This window comes from Homo sapiens, chromosome 9, assembly GCF_000001405.40.
Source record: "Homo sapiens chromosome 9, GRCh38.p14 Primary Assembly".
In the NCBI taxonomy this organism is placed as follows: domain Eukaryota; kingdom Metazoa; phylum Chordata; class Mammalia; order Primates; family Hominidae; genus Homo; species Homo sapiens.
In genome coordinates this window covers 82,263,745-82,287,242 of record NC_000009.12, presented here as the reverse complement: position 1 = coordinate 82,287,242, position 23,498 = coordinate 82,263,745, and the positions used below count along the sequence as shown (strand labels likewise).

The following is a 23,498-nucleotide window of genomic DNA, read 5'->3' as shown; positions in this document are numbered from 1 at the left end:
CATTTCTTTGAGTTTCTTCAAAACAGCTTGTATTAGTCCATTTTCATGCTGCTGATAAAGACACCTATGTCTGGGCAATTTACAAAAAAAAAAGAGGTTTAGTGGACTCTCAGTTCCACCTGGCTAGGGAGGCCTCACAATCATGGCATCAGACAAGAGAAAAGCTTGCGCAGGAAAATTCCCCTTTATAAAATCATCTGATCTCATAAGACTTATTCACTATCATGAGAATAGCATGGGTAAGACCTGCCCCCATGATTCAGTTACGTCCCACCGGGTCCCTCCCACAACACATGGAAATTATGAGAGTTACAATTCAAGATGAGATTTGGGTGGGGACACAGCCAAACCATATCACAGCTATTTTGAATTCTCTGTCTGAAATGTCACATATCTGTTTCTCCAAGATTGGTCTCTGGTGCCTTATTTAGTTCACTTGGTGAGGTCATGTTTTCCTGGATGATGCTGATGCTAGGAGATGTTCTTCAGTGTCTGGGCATTGAAGAGTTCGGCATTGATTTTAGTCTTCACTGTCTGGGCACTGAAGAATTAGATATTGATTGTAGTCTTCACCATCTTGGCTTATTTGTACCTGTCCCTCTTGGGAAGGCTTTTCAGATATTTGAAAGGACTTGAGTGTTGCGTTCTAACCTACATCCACATTAAGAGGCACCCCTAAGCCCAGTAATGCTGTGATTCTTGCAGATTCATAGAGGTATCGCCTTGATGATCTTGGACAAGATCTGGGAGAATTCTCTGGAATACCAGGCAGAGACTCTTGTTCTCTTCCCTTACTGTATCCCAAACAAACAGTCTCTTTTTCTCTCTGTTCTGAGCCATCTAAAGCTGGAGGTGGAGTAACACAAACACTCCTGTGGCCACCACTGCTATGATGGCACTGGGTCATACCTGAAGCCAGTACATCACTGGGTCTCACTCAATGCCTGCTGTAATCATTCCCTGGCTACTGCCTATGTTTGCTTTGGGCCCTGGGGCTCTACAATCAGCTGGGTCAAAGCCAGCCAGGACTGTGTCCTTCCTTTCAGAGCAGTGAAGTTCCCTAGCCCCTGAGTGGGTCTGGACGTGTCATCCAGAAGTCAGGAACTAGAGCCAAAAACCTTAGAAGTCTGCCTGGTGTTCTATTGTACAGTGCATCAGCTGGCAGTCAAACCACAAGATGCAGTCTTTTCCACTCTTCCCTCCCCTTTTCAAAGGCAGAGAAGCCTCACCCTGAAGCCACCACCACCCCAGGCCATGATGAGTACTGCCAGATTACCACCAATGTTCCCTTAAGGCCCAAGGACTCTTAAATCAGCTTGTTGTGAATGCTGCCTGGTGTGGGACTCACTTTTGAGGGTAGTGGGCTCCCCTCTGGCCCAGGGCAGGTCCAGAAATGCTATCCAGGAGTCAAGTTCTGAAATCAGAAACCCCAAGAACCCACTTGATGTTCTATACCCCTGTGGCTGTGTGGTGTTACCTAAGGTGCAAGACAAATCCTCCTTCACATTTCCCCCTGCTTTTCTCAAGCAAAAGGAGTTTTGCCACGTAGCCACCACAGTTGGTAATGTGCTGTGTCTCACCTGAAACTAGTTAAAGTATCAGAGGCTCACCCAAGGTCATTGATGTAGTACCTGGGTATCCCTGCTGCTTATTTGGGGCCCAAGAGCTCTTCAGTTAGCAGATAATGAATGCTGCCAGGACTGGGTCCTGTCCTTCAAGGTAGCAGGTACCCTTCTGGCCCAGAGTATGTCTAGAAATGTCACCTTGGAGCTAGGGCCTGGAATGGGGGCCTCACAACTCTGACTGGTGCCCTGCGGCTGAGCTGATATCCAAGATGCAAAAGAAAGTCCTCCTGACTCTTCCCTCTCCTCCCCTAAAGTGGAAGAAAGAGGTCTCTTTTGGAGCTGTGAGCTGTGCAGCCCAGGGTTAGAGAAAGGGTAATGCCAGGACTCCCTTTGTTGCCCCAGGTGATGTCTCAGTATGTCATGTGCCCCCGACCCCAGTCCACTGTGTCTGAGCCTAGCTCAGCACTAGGAAGCACCTAGGAGTTGGAGTTGCAGTCCTTATGGCCTAGACTGCCTTTCAAGTTCATTTAGAGACACAGGGCACTGTAGCCCATGGTGGTAAGGTTAATGAAAGCTCAAGTTTGGCGGACCACTGTGATTCCACTTTGGCCAGGCCTGATTTAAATGCTCCCTCAATGGGCAGGCAGCAGCTGAGTTTGGTCTAGTTTTCCCTTCTGCTCTTACAGGACAGCACGGAGTTCAATGACTCATAAGTGCTGTGTTCTCTCTCCCCCAGTGCCCAGAGATGTTCTCCACACCATCCACTGCTGCAGCTGCCTCGGGGGAAGGTGGGTGGCATCCACAATTCAGGACTGTTTTTTCTATCTCTTTGGTGCCTCTTACAAGTGATATGACATTAAAACCAGGTACTGTGAGGGCTCACCTGATTTTTGGTTCTTATGAATGTGTTTCTTCTGTGTAGATAGTTATTAACTTGGCATCCTTGCAGAGGGGATGATCGGTGGAGCCTTCTATTCCGCCATCTTGCTCTGCGTCTGTCTATAGCAGCAGCTCCGCATACTGATAATACTCACCTCCACAAGCTAGTTGAGGCTTCTCTTGCTGTTTGTTTTATATTTGCTTAATGGCTAGGCTGGGCTAGTTCAGTAAAGTCTATTTTTTCTGCAGCATACAGCCTCTGATGTTCCTACTCAAATATTTTTTCTTTATTTTTATCTTTTGGCCTGGCTTCCTAGAAGGTTATCGTGTGTTATCACCATTTAGTGATCAGACACTGATTGATCAGAGGTTTTAACAAGCCCCGTGAACCAGTGAGGTTTTCACCTTTTACTCTTCAATCTGTGAATGGGGTGGAGATTGCTTTCATGGTTTACAAAGTATGTGAGTTTCCCTGCATACAGCCAGGAACTTATAGCTTAATGTTTCTGTCTCTCTGGCTGCTCTTCAATGCAGGCAGCCCTGGGCATGTGCACAGTCTTCCTAGTCACCAGGGAAAACTATGGTTTTTGCAACGCTCTCTTTGACTTTCTTCTTCACTTAATCTCTCTGTTAAGATTGTGCCAGGTCTGACTCTATTGGTATCAACCCAGCTGTTATCCATCATTTATTGCTAGCTGATCACTCTATTGCTTCAATACCCTGAGGCATAAATTGTTCCACAGTCTGATTGAAATAATGTGGGGATCTTTGGCACAGATGGGTCACAGCCAGTCTTTCAGCATTTCTCTAACTCTCCCCTTTCCCTAAGCAGAAATTTTGTTATGAAGCAGGAGCTGAGAGAGAATAGTGAACTTACTGACCGCTCTAGCTGGATCCTCTCTACGGAGCAGTTGTATGTGAGTGTGAGGATAGTGGGGGTGGGGTTCTGCGACCCAGTTGCCATCACAGCCCTGTATAGACCTTCTGCAGCCCAGAGTCAAAGAGCATAAAATTTGCTGAGTTTTGCCATCTTACTATTTAACCAGATTGGCTTTTCTGCCCCAGGGAGTTGGGGATGATGGGATCTGACACTTGGATGCCAACCCCAGTAGAGCAGCTCTCCCGCGACACAGAGCTGTGTAGAATTGAGGGACTGTATTTTTCACCAGTTTCCTCATCCGGATACTATATACCTCATAAGAGTTGGAAATGGAGGAATGGACACTGCTGCCACCCACTCATATCGTCTTCTGTAGCACAGGGCTGTGAAAAATCGGATTTGCCAATGTTTACCAGCTCCCCAATCTACCAAGAATAGCTCTCCTACCCAAGGAAGTTGAGGGATATGGGATCTAGCACTCAACTGCTGCTGAATAGAACAGCTTTTCCAGAACACAGAGTTGTAAATAAACAGGGGCAGTCCCTAACTCAATTGCCACACCTTCATGAAAGAGTCCATAGATCTTATTAAATATTCCTCAATATGTAGCAAGCCCCATGATCAATCTCCAGAGACTCTGAAGAATTGTCTTTGCTAATTTTAACCCATATAATAGCTGTCTCTCTGGCTTTCCTCCAGGTCCTCATATCTTCTTTACTACGGTGAGTTTTAAGAATGTATACTTTCTTAAATTTAATTTTAAATTTCAATTTCCTAAGTTTAAATTTAAGAATTTAAGAAAACGTTAAATAGTTACAGAATCTGAATCATCTGTTTTATTTTATAATTTTTTAAGAAAGAATTAAGTTTATAAAAGATTTCCACATCTTTGATTCATATAAATTTATAATACATCCTAATATAAAATTTATATAATACAGTATATATTTTATATATCATATAAATTAAAGGTTATAATGTAACCTTTGTAATCTAATTTTTAATATTTACATATGTAAACTATCTGAAATTTAAATGTTATTTCATCATATAATGTAAAGTATGGTTTGATTTTTTTGTACATTGTCCTTACTAATTAACCAAATTTCCAGCACCTTTTTAAATATAATTTCTGCTTACTATACACTTTTTTTTTGTTTATTTTTGGGGTTTTTTTGGGGGGAGTTGGAGTCTCACTCTGTTGCCCGGGCTGGAGTGCAGTGGCACGATCTCAGCTCACTGCAATCTCCAGCTCCTGCAACCTCCACCTCCCGCCACCACACCTGGCTAATTTTTGTGTTTTCAGTAGAGATGGGGTATTGCCATGTTGGCCAGGCTGGTCTCAAACTCCTTGTCGCAAATGATCTACCCACCTCAGCCTCCCAAAGTGCTGCGATTACAGGTGTGAGCCACCACACCCAGCCTCTGCTTACTATACAGTTTTTAATATATACATGTGTTAATTACTAGATTTTATTCTGTTAATAGATCTAATCTTGACACACTATTTTGATTGCAGATTTATCACTTACTTTAATATTTGATAGTGCATATATGAAACCTCTTATCCTCTCTATATTGATATTATAGCTGTTATTACAGTTCATCATATTGTATAACTGCAAATCATTTCATCAGGTAGAGCCAAAAATGCACTATACTATTGGCCTTACATAACTGATATAAAATGAGGAAACTCTGGTATCTAAATCCCGATTCTTCCTATCTGAGAATAGGGTAGATAACTACTTAATTCTTTTGTCTTTTACTAAATGTTTTGCACTTTTTAAAAAGAGATCTTCCAAATTTCATTTAAATAAATTTATGTTGTTATTCTGAATGGCATTTTTTCCTTCATATTTTTGATAGTTATTGCTGAGCTGTAAGAACTCTATGAATTTTTGTATATGAGAGTTCCCTTATTGAACTCTGTTTCTACTATTAGACCTCAGGGCTTTACAATCAATTCTTTTAGTTTTTCCAGGTAAACAATCCTACAAATTAAAAATAATTATATTTCTAATATAATTAATAATCCATAATTATAAATAATAAGAATTACATGATTACTTTTACAGTTTCCTTTTCTTGTATTATATTACTGACTAAAAATTCTAAAACAAAGCTAAATAATAATATTGACCTGCGTTATTAGTAGGCATATATTTGTCACAGGGATGATAACTCTCCAGCATCCCCAGCCCAACCTGTCCTACCTAGGCCAGCCTCAAACCTAAAAATCTTGGAATAAAAACTATTCTTTCTTACCTTGCTAGGTATCCAGTGGTCCTCCTTGGGGTCATCAGCATGCTGGGATATATCACAAAAGCATCTTCCCTAGAAAACAGTATCAAATGGAGTATGAGATTTTAAACCACCAAATTGGCACAAAACTATCTCCACTATAACTAAACGACTATCAAGCAAGGTCTCAAGGCACAGACAACAAGATTTTGATTCTCAAAAAGTCTGGGCAGGTGAGGACTCCACACACATACCTTGTTTGGCTTAATTAGGTAAGCCAAATGCATTCAGTGTTTTGGTTCTTTCTCAGAGTAACTCCCATGATAGTTCCTCTTCCCTAGTCAACTGGCCTCAGCATTTCCCAGGCTATGGATTTAGTATGAGGTCATTCAGTGTCAAGGTTTGGGAATGTGAATTTCTAAATCCAAGGCCCTCCCTCCTTAGCTTCACTATTCTGGGCTCTCACAACCCAAAATCAAGTATCACACTCTTTGCTGACCATCTTGCTTCATTCCTTTCCTTTTAAGTTGCCTTAAGCATCTATATACTTATTCAAAATGAAACTACCCTCAGTATTTTAATAATAAACAGGGAAAATAAATGCAAATTTAATTTCTGTTATGTGCGAGGTACTGTGCTAAGCTATTTACAAACATTATATAATCTTCACCACAACCCTATAAAGTAGATGCTCTTTTTTATTTCTATTTTACAGATAAGGAAATTGAGACTTATAGGGGTAAAATGTACTTTCAAATCTTACTCTATACTTCCTTTAGTTTTTCACATTTAGTTTGAATACTTGCATTAGGTTTAGAATACTTTCCTTCATACAAAATATATATCCTTCTATTACGATTTCACAAAACATTTTCTTCATACAGTGAAATTGAATTTCACAAATGCCTTTTAGCATACACTGAGATGATCACAAAATTTTTCTTTCTTTGTTCTCTTAATATGATGAATTGTTTTAATAAATTTTTTACTTTTACATTTTCTTTGCAGGTCTCAGATAAAGTCAGCATGTGCACAATGTATTAGTATTTTAATATAATGTTGTATTTGAGTCGATATTATTTATTTAGGGTTTTTGAATCTTTATTCCTAAGTAAGCTAGCTATTTTTGCAATTCATAAAATGAACTGGGGAACAATTCATCTTTTTCTAAACTTAATAAAATATTAATAGCAGATTATTTTAATACAGTCTATATTGGAATTACTATTATTTATTTAGGATTTTTGAATCTTTGTTCTTAAGTGAACTGGCTATATTTTTTATTCATAAAATTTGAATTGGGGATCAATTCATCTTTTCCTAAGCTCAATAACATTTAAAATAATACAGAAATTGCTTTTTTCTTGAAGGTTTGGGGAAAATTATCCTTAAAATATTCTTTACCTGGTATTTTCTTCAGAGTTAGTTCTTTAACAACCTTCTTAATTTATTCTGTGATTATTCAAATTTTCTATTCCCTCTTAAATTATTTTTAGCAATTCACATTTTCTTTAATAAAACTGTCCATTTTATTAAGCTTGTCAAATTAATTACCAAAAAAGGTGATTAATGACATATACTTTTAGTATTTTATCTCCTGCATATCTTATATTAAAATCATTTTCTCCATCAATTGCCCTATTGCTGACCTTCTACTCTGTGCCTAGCACTGCTCAGGGTGCTGGGTAATTACTAATGAACAAAATCTATGGTTCCAGACTCTTAGGGATCTTATAGTCTAGTGGGCAAGAACAATGGTGAATAAGTAAGAAAATAAAACAGTAATTAAAAATTGTGATAAGTGGTACGAAGGCAACAAAATACAATAATAGAAAATAATTGGGGTGGGGATACAGGGCTCAGGGTAGCTCAAATGTAGATTAAAAGGTCTGAGAAGACCTTATCACGGGGTAACAATGAAATCCAGACCTGGAAAACCAGAAAGAACCAGCTCTTTGAAGAAAATGAAGAGAAAAATTCCAAAATATGCCAAGGCGGTATAGAACCTGTCGTGTTTGGGGTACTAAAAGAAGTATAAGCTTGCTGAAACATGAAGAGTGATGTGGGGAAGGACTCGGGAAGATTCTAAAGAGTTGAGAAGATTTTTGAAGCATGCTGGTCTTTTAGTGGCTGCCTGAGAATTTCTGGAAAGGTGATTAGGTACTGACATTTTTTAATCAAAAATGGAAATTGAAGCTGAATTTGCAAAGTTCTTTGTGTAAAATGGAAAACAGTTCAGCTATCTATATTCAAGAATGGGACAATTTGTAATAAACATTGTGTGGATCATGATAGAGTTTATATATTTGTAAAAATAATAAACTTGACTTTTAGGCAGTTGTAGGTTTACAGAAAAAAATGAGCAGAAAGTATGGTAAGCTCCCAATAACACCTTTGTCTTCCACCCTCATTTACTCTCCCATTTCCCACAACACGCACCCCATACACAATTTTCCATATAATTAACATCTTCCATTACTATAATATACTTGTTACAATTGATGAACCAATATTGATACATTATGAACTAAAGTCCATAGGATTTTACATTAGGCTTATTCTTTGTGTTGTACAGTTATATGGGTTTTTAATTTTGCAAATTATACTTTATCATTTTTTCTATTATTTTGAAAAATGTTTTCATTTTTTTCTTTTCAATTTTTTTTTAATTTCAATAGCTTTTGGGGTACAAGTGCTTTTTGGCTACATGGATACTATGCAGCTATAAAAAGAACAAGATCATGTCCTTTGCAAAAACATGGATGGAGCTGGAAGCCATTATCCTTAGCAAATTAACGCAGGAACAGAAAACCAAATGTCACATGTTCTTACTTATAAGTGGGAGCTAAATGATGAGAACACATGGACACATAGAGGGGAACAACAGACACTGGGGCCTACCTGAGGGTGGAAGATGGGAAGAGGGAGAGGACCTGGAAAAGTAACTAATGGGTACTAGGCTTAATACTTGCATTATTAAATAATCTGTACTACAAACCCCTGTGACATGAATTTACCTATATAACAAACCTGCACATGTAGCCTTGAACTTAAAAGTTTTTTTTAAAGCATAATCCAGAAAGTTGGGGAATGACTAGATGTCAGTGAAATTCTGTGCTGGACCAGGGCTATGTATAAAAGAAAGTTTTTGAGACATCTCCGAGAAGGTACCTTTAGAAGGTATGTTTGAGAACAATAAAGAACTCAGAATTACCTTTAAAGAAAAGAAAATTTGGCTGGGCGCGGTGGCTCATGCCTGTAATCTTAGCACTTTGGGAGGCTGAGGTGGGTGAATCACCTGAGGTCAGGAGTTCGAGACCAGCCTGGCCAACATGGTGACACCCTGTCTCTACTAAAAATATAAAAATTAGCTGGGTGTGGTGACATGCCTGTAATCCCAGCTACCTGGGAGGCTGAGGCAGGAAAATCACTTGAACATGGTAGGTAGAAATTGCAATGAGCCAAGATTGCACCACTGCACTCCAGTCTGGGCAACAAAATGAGACTCTGTCTCAAAAAGAAAAAGAAAAAGAGAATTTAGAAAAACCATGGTTCCTATCTTTAAGAGCTGAAAGCACAATATTGATTCATAACTGTTTTCTTTCTTTTTGGTATTCTTGTTAAATAATGACTGATATTTCCTAATGACTGATATTTCCTAATATATTTCCTAATACTGCATTAGGAAAATCCAATTGAAATCACATGTTAATTTTGTGAATTGGTTCAAAATAATAGTTCTTTTGAGTATCACTCATCAGGTAAAATCAGACTGTCTCTAAAGCATGACATGTGCAAGGAAGTCTCCTCAGAGTTCACTAATCAACAAAAGGGTATGCAGTACCAGCAATCCTAGCAAAAAATGGAGTAATGAGAATGTGCTCGGTAATAGCTGACACATAATTATGGCAATCACATCAAAACTGAATGAAAATAAAGGAAAGGAGAATAGAGGTGTGATCTTCACATTAAAAAGAAATAAAATAATAAGTTAAATCTCATGCAGGAAGAAACTCTCTGATATGGTTTGGCTGTGTCTCCACCCAAACCTAATCTTGAATTGTGGTTTCCATAATCCCCAGGAGTCATGGGAGGGACCTGGTAGAAGGTAATTGAATCATGGGGGCAGTTTCCCCCATGCTATTCCTGTGATAGTAAGTTCTCATGAGATCTGATGGTTTTACAAGGGGCTTCCCTCTTCACTTGGCTCTCATTTGCTCTCCTGCCACCCTGTGAAGAGGTGCCTTCTGACATGACTGTAAGTTTCCTGAGGCCTCCCCATGTGGAACTGTGAGTCAAATAAACCTCTTTCTTTTATAAATCACCCACTCGCCAGTAGTTCTTCACAGCAGCCTCAGAACAGACTAATACACTCTCCTTATTCCAAGTGCACACAGGCAGCACAGAACAACCCAGACACAGTTGTTTGTGGCTGGTTAACAGCTTGACTATCCTGGGTATGAAACCATTTGCTCCTCCATTCTGGGGAGACACAAGTCTTAGGGGACACACCTGGCTGGCTGGCTTCCTGTTTATTCACAGAATTTTCTTGCTGTAAGGCACATGGTCTGTCCATGACAATTTAGGACAAATGACTTCCACAGGTGATCAGCTGTTCCTCATCGCCTTTGAAATCAGAGAAAGATAAAAGAGCTTAAATGTGAACATGTTGGATCTAAAGGGATGAGAAATTGCTTTGACAGAGAGTTGTCTGATCACAAGGATAGGTTACTAAATTAGATTGTGACACTTGAGAAATATTAACTGAATTGAACTGAACTTCATGAGGGTAATCATATATTCAGAAATGATCTTAATACTGTTAGCCAAAAGATAGCAGTTCTAACATCATACCATTTAAAGAAGGTAGGTGTTTTATGGACATTACATAAATAATAAGTAATTACACTGGAGAGAGAGAAAAAGAAAGACCCAGAAGTTTAAAAGTTGCAACAGTGAAAAATAATCCTTGTATTTTAACAACTTGCTACTCAAAGTGTAGTCTGTGGACCAACGGCATCAGCATTTCCTGGGAGCTTGTCAGAAATGCAGAATGTCAGGTCCCATCTCAGACCTGCTGAATCAAAATCTGCATCTTAACAAGATCCCAAAGAGATCTGTATGACATTGAAGTTTGGACACAGTGATTTAACAGATTCATAGACACTAGAGGGGAAGAGATATTAGAAAAGATCTTACCTAATCCCCTCATTTTTCAAATTTGAAAACTCATCAAAGTTTCATCTTAAGACAAATGTCAAGTGATCAATTAATGTTAGAGTTAAATCTAGATCCTGGCTTGGCACAGTGGCACGTGTATGTAGTCCCAGCTACTTCAGAGGCTAAGGCAGGAGAATTGCTTGAGCCCAGGAGTTCAAAACAAGGCTGGGCAACAAAGCAAGATCCCTTCTCTAAAAGATGATAGATAGATAGATAGATAGATAGATAGATAGATAGATAGATAGATAGACAGACAGACAGACAGATCCTACACCAGTGCTCCGTTCATGGTCCATTCTATCAGCCAAGAATTTCCAAGTACCTAATAAAAAATTTTTAGACTGCTTTATTAGCCTGTTCCCCACCCCCTCATCATCTAATTTTATAATAGCATTACTAATTAGTTCCAGATTTGATATCTTTAAAACTTTCTCAGAAATGAATCCTCTGTCAAAGAATAAACCTGTTAATAGGACGGATTTACTGAATGCCAGAGTTATGCATTTAAAACATATTCTCTCTTCCAGTTATGACAGATGCAATCAAAGGTATGGTGAGAGATTGCTGGAAATGACTAAATGTGTTTCATTTTAAATTGATAACTTTGTAGAGAGGGTGAAAGGATATTGGAGAGGGAAGGAGGAGGAAAACAAGGAAGGTGGGAGGGGACAGCAGGAGTCGGTGGATGATTCTGCTCTGGCATGCCTGTCTGACATCACTGGCTTAACATTTGTATTTCAGTCCATCGCCTGACTAATAACACCATGTAGTGAAATAAAGCACCCATTCTGGAGGTAATTGTTATGTGGTGGAATATAAACAAGCCCCATTCTGCAGTATATTTACCACAGTGCATATTTACGAGTTGGGTTTAATTAAAAGTCGGGAACACTAGAGCTATTTTTTAACTAGATGCCTATTATCTAGTGTCAAATGCTTGGTTTTAATCATGCATTTTATATCATCGTGACCTAGATCACTGCCTGTGACATATGAGATAGTGTGTTGTCTTTCCTGAGAAGATGTAGCAGGGCTTGATGGATGTTTTCTCATTCCTAACCTCATTACTACCAGCTTCCCATCCATCTAATAAAATGCTATGATAGAGAGTGGGAAGGTGCTATAAATCATAATATTCCAGCCGCTTCAAGCAGATTCATTAGAAATGCTGACTATATATCTCACAAACAGAAAGTCAACACACAAAGTAGGTTGCTGCTTCTTCCCAGGATCAAGGCACCCTGTTCCCTGCCTTACCCTCTCCCAGTGGAACAAAGGTTCTTTTTAAATGGCAAAACCCTGCGATTTAATGAAAAACTGGGTAGCCCTCTGTCTTAACATGATTTATCCAAGATAGAATTGATAATACTAGGTTCAGTCTTGTCACATACAATCTGACCATTATTCCTCTGATTGGAAGAGCTGTCAACTTCTAAGTGCTCAAGAAACAGGTACAGTTAAAATGGTTTAGATTTTGGAGTTTTTGTTACTATATTTTTGCCCTGACAAAGAAAAGGACCCTGTATCTTCTTTGAGATTAAGGTAGAATTTGTTGAAGAGATGAGTAAGAGCTCTGACATCATCATTCCTTCAGGTAATGGGGCATGAAACCTTGGTGAAATCTTTGGCTCCTCCTTCTCTTTTGAGTACTCATTTGTTCATTCATTGAACAAACATTTCATGTGGACCTATATGGTCTAGGCACCATACTAGCTGCCAGGTTACAATCGTCAATAAGACATGGCCTTCCCTCAAGGAGCTTGTACATTAGGTGAAAAAACAGAGTGCAATGGGAACACAAAGGAGGAGGTCCTAAACCCATCTGGAGCAGGGTGGTGGTGGTCAAGGAAGGCTTACAGGAGGATATGAAATCTAAGTTAACTAGAGAAGAGAGGAGGGGAACAGTGTTCCAGAAAGAGAGAGCAGAACATGTGCAAAGATTCAGAGTTGTGAAAAGGATATCCAAGTTTAGCATAGCTGAGACCAAGAGGTACAAGGAGTGGCAAGAGAAAAAGGAGTTCAGAAGTCATAAAGGATAAACCATGAAGGGCCCTGTATGCTTTTTAAGTAAATTTAAGTTATTCTGAGAGCAACAGAAAAGCGTTAAACACTTTTAAGCAGACCAGTCACATGGCAGGTTTTGCATTTTACAATCGTCACTCTCTCAACAGTGAGGAATGCATGGGGACGGGGCAGCAGACAGGATTAAATTAGGGAAAATAGCAAGAAAGACAGCAGCAATAAGGTAGGCCTAAGATATAAGAATGGAGAAAGCTAGTAGCAGCTGAGAACTATTTATGAGCTACAGATGACAGGACTAGTAAATGATTTGAACACTCTATCTGGTCACCAAGTCTATTAGTTTTTTGTTTTGTTTTGTTTTGTTTTGTTTTGTTTTGTTTTCCAAATGAAGCTTTATTCAGCTGTTTCTATTTGTTCTCTTAGACACTAGGCTATTTCCAAGACAATAAGCCCTGTGCTGTATCCTAAATGACATCCATATCTGGGCTGATCATGATAGTCTCCAATCCATGTTCTACCACAATAAGTTCTCATAGGCCTGTTCTCTGTCCCAGAATCTCCTGTGACTGCCATGTACCTGACCCCACTGTCCACAGCAATAGCTTTTAAACTTCAGTGAATATCTGAATCACTAGGACGCTGGAGTGGAGGGCCTGTGAAAAATGCCGAAAACCAACTTCTATCAAGATAAAATTTCTGATTTAGATATATCGTGGGATCCAGAAATAAATATTTTTGACAAACGCTCAAGACACTAAGGTCGGAAATATATTTTGAGATAATGTCCAGGGTTATGGCCTACAGTTCACAGATCTCTACAATTTCTGCCCACCACACTGTCCTACAGTGTTGACTGTAACTTACGTCTCTGCCCAAATCACTTTCTGTTGTACTCTGGCTTGATTTCTTACCGTAAAAATGACTATGCTATAAGCAACCCCACCTCCATACCTTCAGTCATGTTGTTCTGCCTTTATCCTCTGCTTGTCAGAATTCAGTCCATGTGTGAGGGCTCAGTTTCCATATCTGTAAAGGTCAGTGAACAAATTAGATGGTATTTAAGTTATATTACAAGCTTACTGCTCTATGACTCATTTTAAACCTCATCTCCTCATGAGCCCATCCCTGGTCACTCCAGCCTTCACTGAACTCTTCTTTTTTAACTTGGTCACTCCCTCTTCCTGTCCTCCACCACATTTAATTATAGGAACTAGTTTATAGCTTATCAAAAGCTAGCTGGATATCCTTGTTAACCTTCTGCCTCGTTGATCTGTCTAGTATTGAAAGTGGGGTGTTATAGTATAAAATTGGGATTAAGAGCATAGAAACCAGAATCAAATTGACTCAGATCAGGTCCTGGCTTGATCATTTACCAGCTGCATGATATTTGGGAAGTTGCCTTCTTTCTAAACCTCAGCTTCCTTATCTGTAAAATGAGGATAATAAAAGTTTCTGCTTTGTAGAATTATTGCAAAGATTAAATGACATAATCCATTTAAAGCAATTATTATCGTGCTTAGAATTTATTAAGGCATTTTATAAAAGTTGACAAAAATCAGTGTGACAGCCTTGCCTCTGTTTATGACTCTGTTATAAGTAACTTGAAGGCAGGGAGGGCAGCTTCTTTTATATCATTGACCACCTCCCCCAGTCCAAAGCCTGATAGTATCACCTAGGAGATGGACTGATATTTATAGTATTCAAAAATAAAAAGAGCTGGGTATGGTAGCTCACGCCTGTAATCCAAGCACTTTGGGAGGCTGAGATGGGAGGATTGCTTGAGCTTAGGAGTTCAAGACGAGCCTGGACAACATAGCAAGACCTTGTCTCTGCTGAAAAACAAACAAACAAACAAACAAAAATAGCTGACCATGGTGGCCTGCAGTCCCAGCTACTAGGGAGGCTGAGATGAGAGAATCACTTGAGCCTGGAAGATTCAAGCAGCAGTGAGGTGTGATCTTGACACTGCACTCCAGCCTGGGAAACAAAGCAAGACCCTGACTCAAATAAATAAATAAATAAATACAAGTGAGTGTAGCACAAATAAATCTTATTACAGACTCAGGTATGTCACATGTCCACATTTTCTTTGTCATCTTCAATCTGATAACAGCTTCATTCTACTGTACTGAAGAAAATTCAGTGTTAGTCATTATTGCCCCTACAGAGAGAAGAGGTCCCAAGGTGTTGTGTAGCACCAAAGTGTCAGGGAATTCTCACACTGTTCACACTGGTCCCTCCTGAGATGCCCAGTGAGCCAGTCCATAAGGTTCCTGTAGGTCACAGGCAGCTTAGCTGCTTCTCTGCCTTGCATGGAATATAGGAAACTGGACCACATTTGGAACTCCTAAACTCAGGATGCAACTCCCAGTGCTTCCGTTCGTCATCGCTTCTGAGATTTTGTCACCTCTCCAGGACTTTGCCAGAAGTGGGATATGAGCCTCATTCCAAATGGACCTATTATTCTCTTTTGCCATCTCAGCCAAAAGGATGACCCTTCCTGGACTCCCTGCCTTAAAAAATAATTCCCTCTCTCTCTCCATACTTTCAGGGCTATCTAATTACAACTTAAATGGGGTAATGACTTTAATAAGTTTAGGATTCTGCTCTCAACCCTACCAAAAGAAAAAAAAAAAAAACCATTCTCTGAGGCAGGGGATTATTAAAGGCCTGGTCCCCCATGTGAAGTGAGGAAAGACAAAAAATGAAGGGATCATAAGCACAAAATAATATTTTAATAAACTATCCCTCCCAAAGAGCCAAGAGGAATCACTTTGCACCAACACAGAAGGATCAAAGCACAAAATAAAGTGATGCTGGAATGCTGACAGCATATTCCTCTCTTGAGTCAGATGAGACCTTTTCTCTAAAGTTTTGGCCTTGAGAAAAAGAATGGGCCTTTGGTCCAGATTAGGATTCCCTGTCTTCTTTCCAAATTTTAGGGAATTTTTGGATTGTTACACTAAGAGTGCCATCCATGCAAGCAAAGCACATCTTGCCTCTTGAAAGAACAAAGGCCCGTAGAGGCCATAAAAATTGCTCATAAGTCTTCTTACACATCAAAGGACTCTTAACAACAACATGCAGATGACTAAGTGAAAGTAAATCAGGAACATATGGATTAAGATTCTCTTGAAATACACATGGGTTTAGAAACTAGGTGAAGAAGGAATTGCTTAGGGCCAAATGCATCTTGGATATTCTAAATACATGTGTGTGGTTACCACCACTAACATCCACCCACCCACCCTCACATACACACTTAGAAATATTTGTTGCATGAATTAGAGACCTAGAAAATGTTAAGACTCCTAGAGATCACACATCATGGGAGAGTCATAGCTATTTACCCGAGGTTAGATTAATTCAACAAATGATTTTTCTTATGTTTTCAGCAAAGGGGAAAAAGGAAGAAAAAGTTTGTTGTTAATTCAAAATAAACAACAAAAACTTTTTATTTGGTTTCTGATTTCAAGAATAAATATATATCTACTTTGTTGGGCTGAGTTTCCCTAACTATAAAACATAGGAAGTGGAGTGATTGATCTCAGAAATACTTGAAAATGTCTTTACCCATGGACCTGTTTTTCATCTGCTTATTTTTCCTTGTTCTTCCTTTTCTAACAGGACCATATGCAAATTTTTATAGCAATAATAAAAAGACCTGAAAGTTTAGCTTTAACATGTCTCACACACAAGCCTGGCCCCAGGAAAAACCCAAAGTAGGTGAAAAGGAGCCTTGGGTTACCCACCCACTCGCTTTTTTCTGCCTCTCTTCTCTTGGAACAGTGATACAAATGCCACACCCCAGCAGCTTAAAGCAGCCCATCAGAAAACCCACACTATCTCTTTCATAAATTAGTGGTACTGTAAGACTTTTCAGAAAATTGATTAGTGACACATTCAGGAACACTAAGACCTAAGTCTGAAATTACGAGTTTAGGAATTGGAGGGAGTAAGGTAAGATATGTTATTACATATCCTTGTTAATAAAGTGAGAGAAAAAGTTACTACCAGTATCAGGCAGATTAAATATGTACTGAAGACTTCTTTCCAAATCCAGTTTTCTCATTCATAACATTCCGGCTATCCTAACCTGAATCAACACATTATAAGAAAGCCTATTTGGCTTCTGAGGAGGAAGCAGAGACATTTATGTACTAAAACTATTATTCAGCAGCTCTCTAATTCCATTGTGACTATTTTAATACAATTGCAGTTATTTCACAATCATCCATTTCTAGAGTGTGAATGAAGCAGATAATAATTCAGTTCTGCATTTGAAACTGAGGTCTAAGCTCTCTCCGAGAGTCAATGATATTATGAGGTCGGTGCAAAAGTAATTATAGTTTTGCCATTTTAATTGTGGCAAAAAACCACAATTACTTTTGCACCAAAAGTAATTAGAACCTATATCAGTTCTGAATGTAGAACTTAGTTTTAACTTAATGACATACGTAAACCCAGACACAGTGCTAATTCAAAACCATTGACTCTACCAAGATGCATGACCTATACGTGATGGTTTTCTGAAACCTGAGAAAATGGCTTCTAACATATGGATCCCAATTACTGTGGATGAAATTTCATGGCATAAATATTCTAACGAACTTAAAATAAACTAACATGGTCTTCCCTTTACCAGGTAAACCATGTTAGTTTTTCCCATAATATGCTCCCATACCACCTTGTACTTCCTTATTGTAACACTGAAAACTGTAAGATCTAAGAAGGAAAGAGAGGGTGATTATCTTGTTATCAATTGTATTTTAGAGCCTAGACAGTGCATGACATAAATAATAAATATTTGCTGAATATACATTACAAATACATAAATTTTATTTCAGAGCTCTGTTACTTTAATTGGTACTAAATAATTTTTGCTAATTCTCCCAACAACCTAGCCATCTCTGTCCTTCTAGTTTACAAACATCATAATTAAATATTAGATTTGGTTCCTTTGTGTCTTCAAAGGGCACTGTAAGGCATTTATTTTATCCTCTCCATGTTTGATTTGAGAGAGCAGCACTAATTTTATTTCATAGATGACAAGCCTGGGGCAAAATCTTCTATATCTGGTCCCAGGAAACAAACACAATCTCTGAATAATAAAAGTGAAAGTGGGGCCGGGCTCAGTGGCTCATACCTGTAATCTCAGTGCTTTGGGAGGCCAAGGTGTTAGGACTGCTTGAGGCCAGGAGTTCAAGACTAGTCTGGGCAACATAGGGAGAGCCTGTTTCTACTAATAAAAAAAAAAAAAATTAGCTGGGCAGGCTACTGTAATCCTAGCAACTTGGGAGACTGAAGCAGGAGAATCTCTTGAGCCTGGTAGTTTGAGCCTGCAGTAAGTTGTGATCACACCATTGCACTCGAGCTTGGGCAATAGAGCAAGATCCTATCTCTAAAATAATTAATAATTTTTTTAATGAAGGAGAGAACTCAAGAAATCTTGATTTTTAATTTCATTTGTAATTTCTTATAAGGAAGAGAATCTTAAAATGCTTCCTGTGGAGGCCAAGCTTTGAGGATGTGCCTTTGCAGACACACAAACAAAATTAAAATCTGACAATGAAAATGCACTTAAAGAATCATCCAAAGTAAAAAAAAAAAAAATAGAATAATAAATACACATAGAGAAGCATACTGTAACACTGAGGTGGTCAAGGTGGAGTTTACTAAAGCCTGCTCTGTTGGCATTCCAAAGCATGTTATGACGGCATGGAGCAGAATAATAAAATTTGTATCCTTATGTGAAAAATAAAATTCAGATAAAAAAGAAGGTACATGAAGAAGTAATTTAAAGTCCCCCATTAGTGCATTTCTTTACAAATCAATTGGCCAGAGATAAAAGGTATTGCAGAGCTTTCCTTGCTCATTTTTATATAACTTCATGGAAGAAAAGATAGATGTGTTACTTTGTAAAAACACTGTACACAGACAAAATAGAAAAAAATTTTAAGCATTTAGTCCCATTTTTAATATAGCATCAGTCTGAAAAATGATGTGACACACAGGAGCTAAAGCTTGTATTAAAATGGTTACTAAAGGCCGGGCACGGTGGCTCACATCTGTAATCCTAGCACTTTGGGAGACCAAGGCGGGTGGATCACGAGGTCAGGAGATCGAGACCATCCTGGCTAACATGGTGAAACCCCGTCTCTAATAAAAATAAAAAATTAGCCGGGCATGGTGGCGGGTGCCTGTAGTCCCAGCTACCGGGGAGGCTGAGGCAGGAGAATGGCATGAACCCAGGAGGCGGAGTTTGCAGTGAGCTGAGATTGAGCCACTGCACTCCAGCCTGCCTGGGTGACAGAGCAAGACTCCGTCTCAAAAAAAAAAAAAAAGAAAGAAATAAAATGGTTACTAAAAGCCGGGTGCGGTGGCTCACGCCTGTAATCCCAGCACTTTGGGAGGCTGAGGTGGACAGATCACGAGGTCAGGAGTTTGAGGCCAGCCTGACCAACATGGTGAAATCCCATCTCTACTAAAAATACAAAAATTAGCTGGGCATGGTGGCATGTGCCTGTAATCCCAGCGACTCAGGAGGCTGAGGCAGGAGAATCGCTTGAACCCAGGAGGAAGAAGTTGCAGTGAGAGGAGATTGCGCCACTGCACTCCAGCTTGGGTGACAGAGCAAGTCCTTGTCTCAAAAAAAAAAAAAAAAAAAGGTTACTAAAATATATTCAACTATGTATTGTGTAGATGAGCCCTGATGCTGTATGCCAGGATATTCAAATAGAGCTGGACAAGCCACACAAATAAGTGTTCTCTTTATATTTTCTAGTTTGGGAATTATCTGTGATTCTAATGGCCTAGAATAGTGTAATTCACATTTCGTAGGGAACCTAACTAGGTATGTTAATCAAAATAAGCACATGTATTATATGATTATTTCTAATGAAAATGCAGATGTATGTTTGTTTATAAAATAAACCTCATTAACTAAGCATATTCCAAACACAATATGATTCCACTACCTGATATATTTAACAAGTGGAACAAGTTCAGTTTGGCATGTTAGGGTTATAATGTCACAGGACTTACAACTACAGATATTTTATGGGGAAATGACACAAACTAAGTCTTTGAATATAATATGCTAAGCATAAATATCTGTAAAACTGACTGGTGGAAAATTTTTGGATTTCTAACAAGCAAAGGCACTAAAATATGTAAAGTATATAAATTACTATTTTAAATATTTCTTGATGATATAAAGAATATTAGAAACATATATCCCTATAAAAGAAGTGAATATGACTGACTTAGGCACATGAGCATGAACTTACTCTTAGTTGGAAGCTTACTAATAATGGTGTATGACAGTTCATATACTTTGGCATTGATTTAACTTTGGCGTTAACAGTTTCTACCACCTCTTTCAAGGTTTTGATTCAGTTCAATTGAAAATACTTCTGAAATTGCAAAACAGACCATTTAAACACTGGTACAACTTGTAAGCATTTAATTGTAACATTCCAACATTGTCAAAACAAATAAAATATAAAAATAAATTCAATGATGAGACTGATAAAAACTTCAATTGCTGTTTACAATCCCAGTTTTAAAGTTCAGGTGTTATTCCAAATAGCTAGATTGTTCTCATTGATTTATTTATAATAAGTTAGTGTTATGAATTACATACATAAAATAATTTTATACATATACATATGCAAAATATATACCTTGTAATTTGCAATTCCACATAATATTTCAGTCTTTAAAGGTTTATAATTGATAAAAAGTGATTGAAAACCACTAACCTGACCAAAACTCCTCTTTTGACAGATGATGTAAGGAAGGTTGGAAGACTAAAATCTGTGAAATGTCAGTGAGTTAGTGTTTCTGGGCTTCTCCAAGTCTTTAATATGCAAAAGTAATTGTGAATTTCCACAAAGGATGCTATTCTATTGTCTTAGTTTGGGATCCCCCAGAAGCAGACCATAAGAAGAGGATTCAAATGCTAGTGGTATTTGCAGGAGGTGCAGAAAACAAGGGTAGGGAATGGAAAAGTGAAAAAGGAAGAAAAGACAAGCAATCAAGGGTGTGTTATAAAGTCAGCAGGTACTGAGGACAACTGGAGCATAATTCCACAGGGAAATGCTGGGACACAGGTTAGAATCTCTACCTTAGATCTATTCCATCTGAGGGGCAAGAAAGCTCTGGATTTATACAAAAACTGCTGTCAGGCATTGGAAGGGTTTTGCCCCAGAAGTGGGTGAATTCTGGGTACTTCCAGCACAGGCAGTGGGAAGTCAGCTCCAGCATGGAAGTGGGAAGTCCTGAGGAATCCCTCCAGAGCTAAGAGTAGCTGCTACAAGTCAATAGTGTTTCCCAAACTCATTTGATGACAGAACTTGTTTATTTATGCAGCCCTAAATAACTTCCATGAGAACTTCAACGTTTTAGAAACACTACAGTCATACAGTGGTCTAATGAATCCTATAATATAAATAGTGTTTTCATACATATTATCTAACTTGTGTCTCAGAAACCTATGTATTATTATCTCCATTGTACAGATGAGAAAAACTGAGGTCTAGATGGGTTAATGGTTATTGGTACACCCAGGGAGCAAACAAGCTTCTGGTTTCAAGACTCAAATTATTAAGAACATGAAACTTGCTTCTTTTAGAAAATGCACTATGAAGTAACACATAAAAGCCTAACATTTAGAGTAATTTTTGTCTTTTTATTCATGAAAGCCTTCACAAAGAACTTTTGTTCTAATAAATGACCCCACCACCACTACCATATACACAGGTCTAGAAAACTAGTAAATTTAAAATTACTTTTCAGACAACTTTGAATTCCATGGTTATTGCAGAGACGCTGAAGCTTGTTGTCACTTTTATGTACTATGCTGTCTATAGTATTACTGATAGGTACCTGAGATAGCCTTATAAATTTAAGCTTTTATGTGGCTTCTATATTTTGCAGTATAAGATCACAATTTATAATGATATGATGTATTGTTATAGAAATTGTCAGCTAGCAAAGTCTAAATATATTTTAAAGATTTGCAGTTTCTATCTGTACCGCAGGAAAACAAAACGTCTTCAAAAGCATATAGCTCTATGATTTGAGTCTTTTAAAACTAATATCTGAGTACTTGCTAGCAGGGCTATGTGCCCAGCCCTGCTCTAAGTAATTTACAGGTACTAACTCATTTGTCCTCAGAACAGCCCTCTGAGGTTAAATTATCATCTACCTATGTGACAAATAAGAAAACAGGAAAAATGAAATTAGATAACTTTCTAACTTATACAGTTTATAAGTGGTAACGACAAGATCTGAGCTCACAAAATCTAGCTTCATAAGCCACACTCAGAGCTTTGACTAACTAGACTTACCACAAAATTGCTCAGTGTATTGGCCCACTAAGAATTACTCAGATTTGCATTCTTATTTGATCAAGGTAAAGAAAATTATTTCCAAAACTTCTAAACAATCATTATTAGATAAAACATCATTTAAATGTATGTTTACATTTTGCATAATTACTTCCAACAGACTTTACCTGAACTATCTTAAGTAGAATTTTAATTTCCTGAGTTATCCCTAACATTTTATTCTCAAGAGCTTATTAAAAATTTCACTTACTGAAATAAAATCTTCACATGCATGGTCAGAGTTGCATATGGAAAATGAGAGAGAGGGAGTTCAAGAGAGAGAATACAGATTCTCAGACCTAACTTGAAAGTGTTAATAAGTTGAAAGTCATTCCTGCTAAACTAAAGCAATGGACGTTATTCTGAACACAAGTATACCTTTATTTAACAGATGTTCATCTGAAAGTGTTTCCTGTTGGTTTGAGATACGAGAAGTCACATATTAACTGTTTTTTGTAATTGTTTCCCCATTGACTCAACCTTCTAATGTGCTTTACGTCCTTTCTGAGTGACTGAGGACGTAGATGAAACTTTAAACCTGGAAGTACAGTAGCAAACCTTTGTAAACCAAAGCTTCCTTTAAGAATAGTGAAAATGGCCAGGCACAGTGGTGGCTCACGCCTGTAATCCCAGCACTTTGGGAGGCCGAGGAGGGCAGATCACGAGATCAGGAAATCGAGACCATCCCGGCTAACACGGTGAAATCCCATCTCTACTAAAAATACAAAAACAAAATTAGCCAGGTGTGGTGGCAGGCACCTGTAGTCCCAGCTACTCGGGAGACTATGGTGGGAGAATGGCGTGAACCCGGGAGGCGGAGCTTGCGGTGAGCCAAGATCGTGCCACTGCACTCCAGCCTGGGCGACAGAGCGAGACTCTGTCTCAAAAAAAAAAAAAGAAAAAAACGAATAGTGATAACATTGTTAGTTGGACAAAGCAGAAATAAGCAGAAAAGAAGCCTTGATGAGAATCCTATAGCCCTACAACACTATACATGAGAGTAAGGAGGCTGCTAATAGAAGGGTTTGGGAAAAAGCACCTTTCAAGAATATGGAAAGAAACACTGAAAGACTCCAGACACCAATGCGTGAAAGGCTCATGACTCCAAGATCTCTCAAATAAAACTATATTAGCATTGAGATAAACATGCACACTGTAGTTGAAAAATCAATAAAGGGAAACAACATAAATTACAGGGTAATGAGGTCACTACTTATGCAGTGACATCATGTCAGTAAATGACTTCAATATTAACATCAGTGATTGCACCAGCATTCTACCAACTCAACTGATACA

At 38.4% G+C, this 23,498-nt stretch overlaps 1 long non-coding RNA gene across 3 annotated transcripts in view, besides 1 other annotated feature; it reads right to left on the bottom strand.

Moving 5' to 3' along the window:
* Positions 1-23,498, bottom strand: part of LOC105376107 (uncharacterized) — a 378,142-nt gene that overhangs the window by 68,144 nt on the left and 286,500 nt on the right. For 2 of the 3 annotated variants that reach the window (XR_002956914.2, XR_002956913.1), the window contains exons 2-4: positions 13,762-13,836; positions 10,081-10,194; positions 5,593-5,661 (exon numbers count right to left, since the gene is read on the bottom strand). This is a non-coding gene — a long non-coding RNA (uncharacterized LOC105376107). The remainder of the gene's footprint in view (positions 1-5,592; positions 5,662-10,080; positions 10,195-13,761; positions 13,837-23,498) is intronic. The other variant, XR_002956915.2, reaches the window with a different exon arrangement.
* Positions 13,577-14,776: an enhancer, noted in NCBI's record as "P300/CBP strongly-dependent group 1 enhancer chr9:84887382-84888581 (GRCh37/hg19 assembly coordinates)". NCBI's record gives its function as "activates an origin of replication core promoter dependent on BRD2, BRD4, P300/CBP, MED14 and CDK7 cofactors, with strong dependence on P300/CBP, by STARR-seq in HCT116 cells {active_cell/tissue: HCT116}" and the evidence as "EXISTENCE:reporter gene assay evidence [ECO:0000049][PMID:35650434]".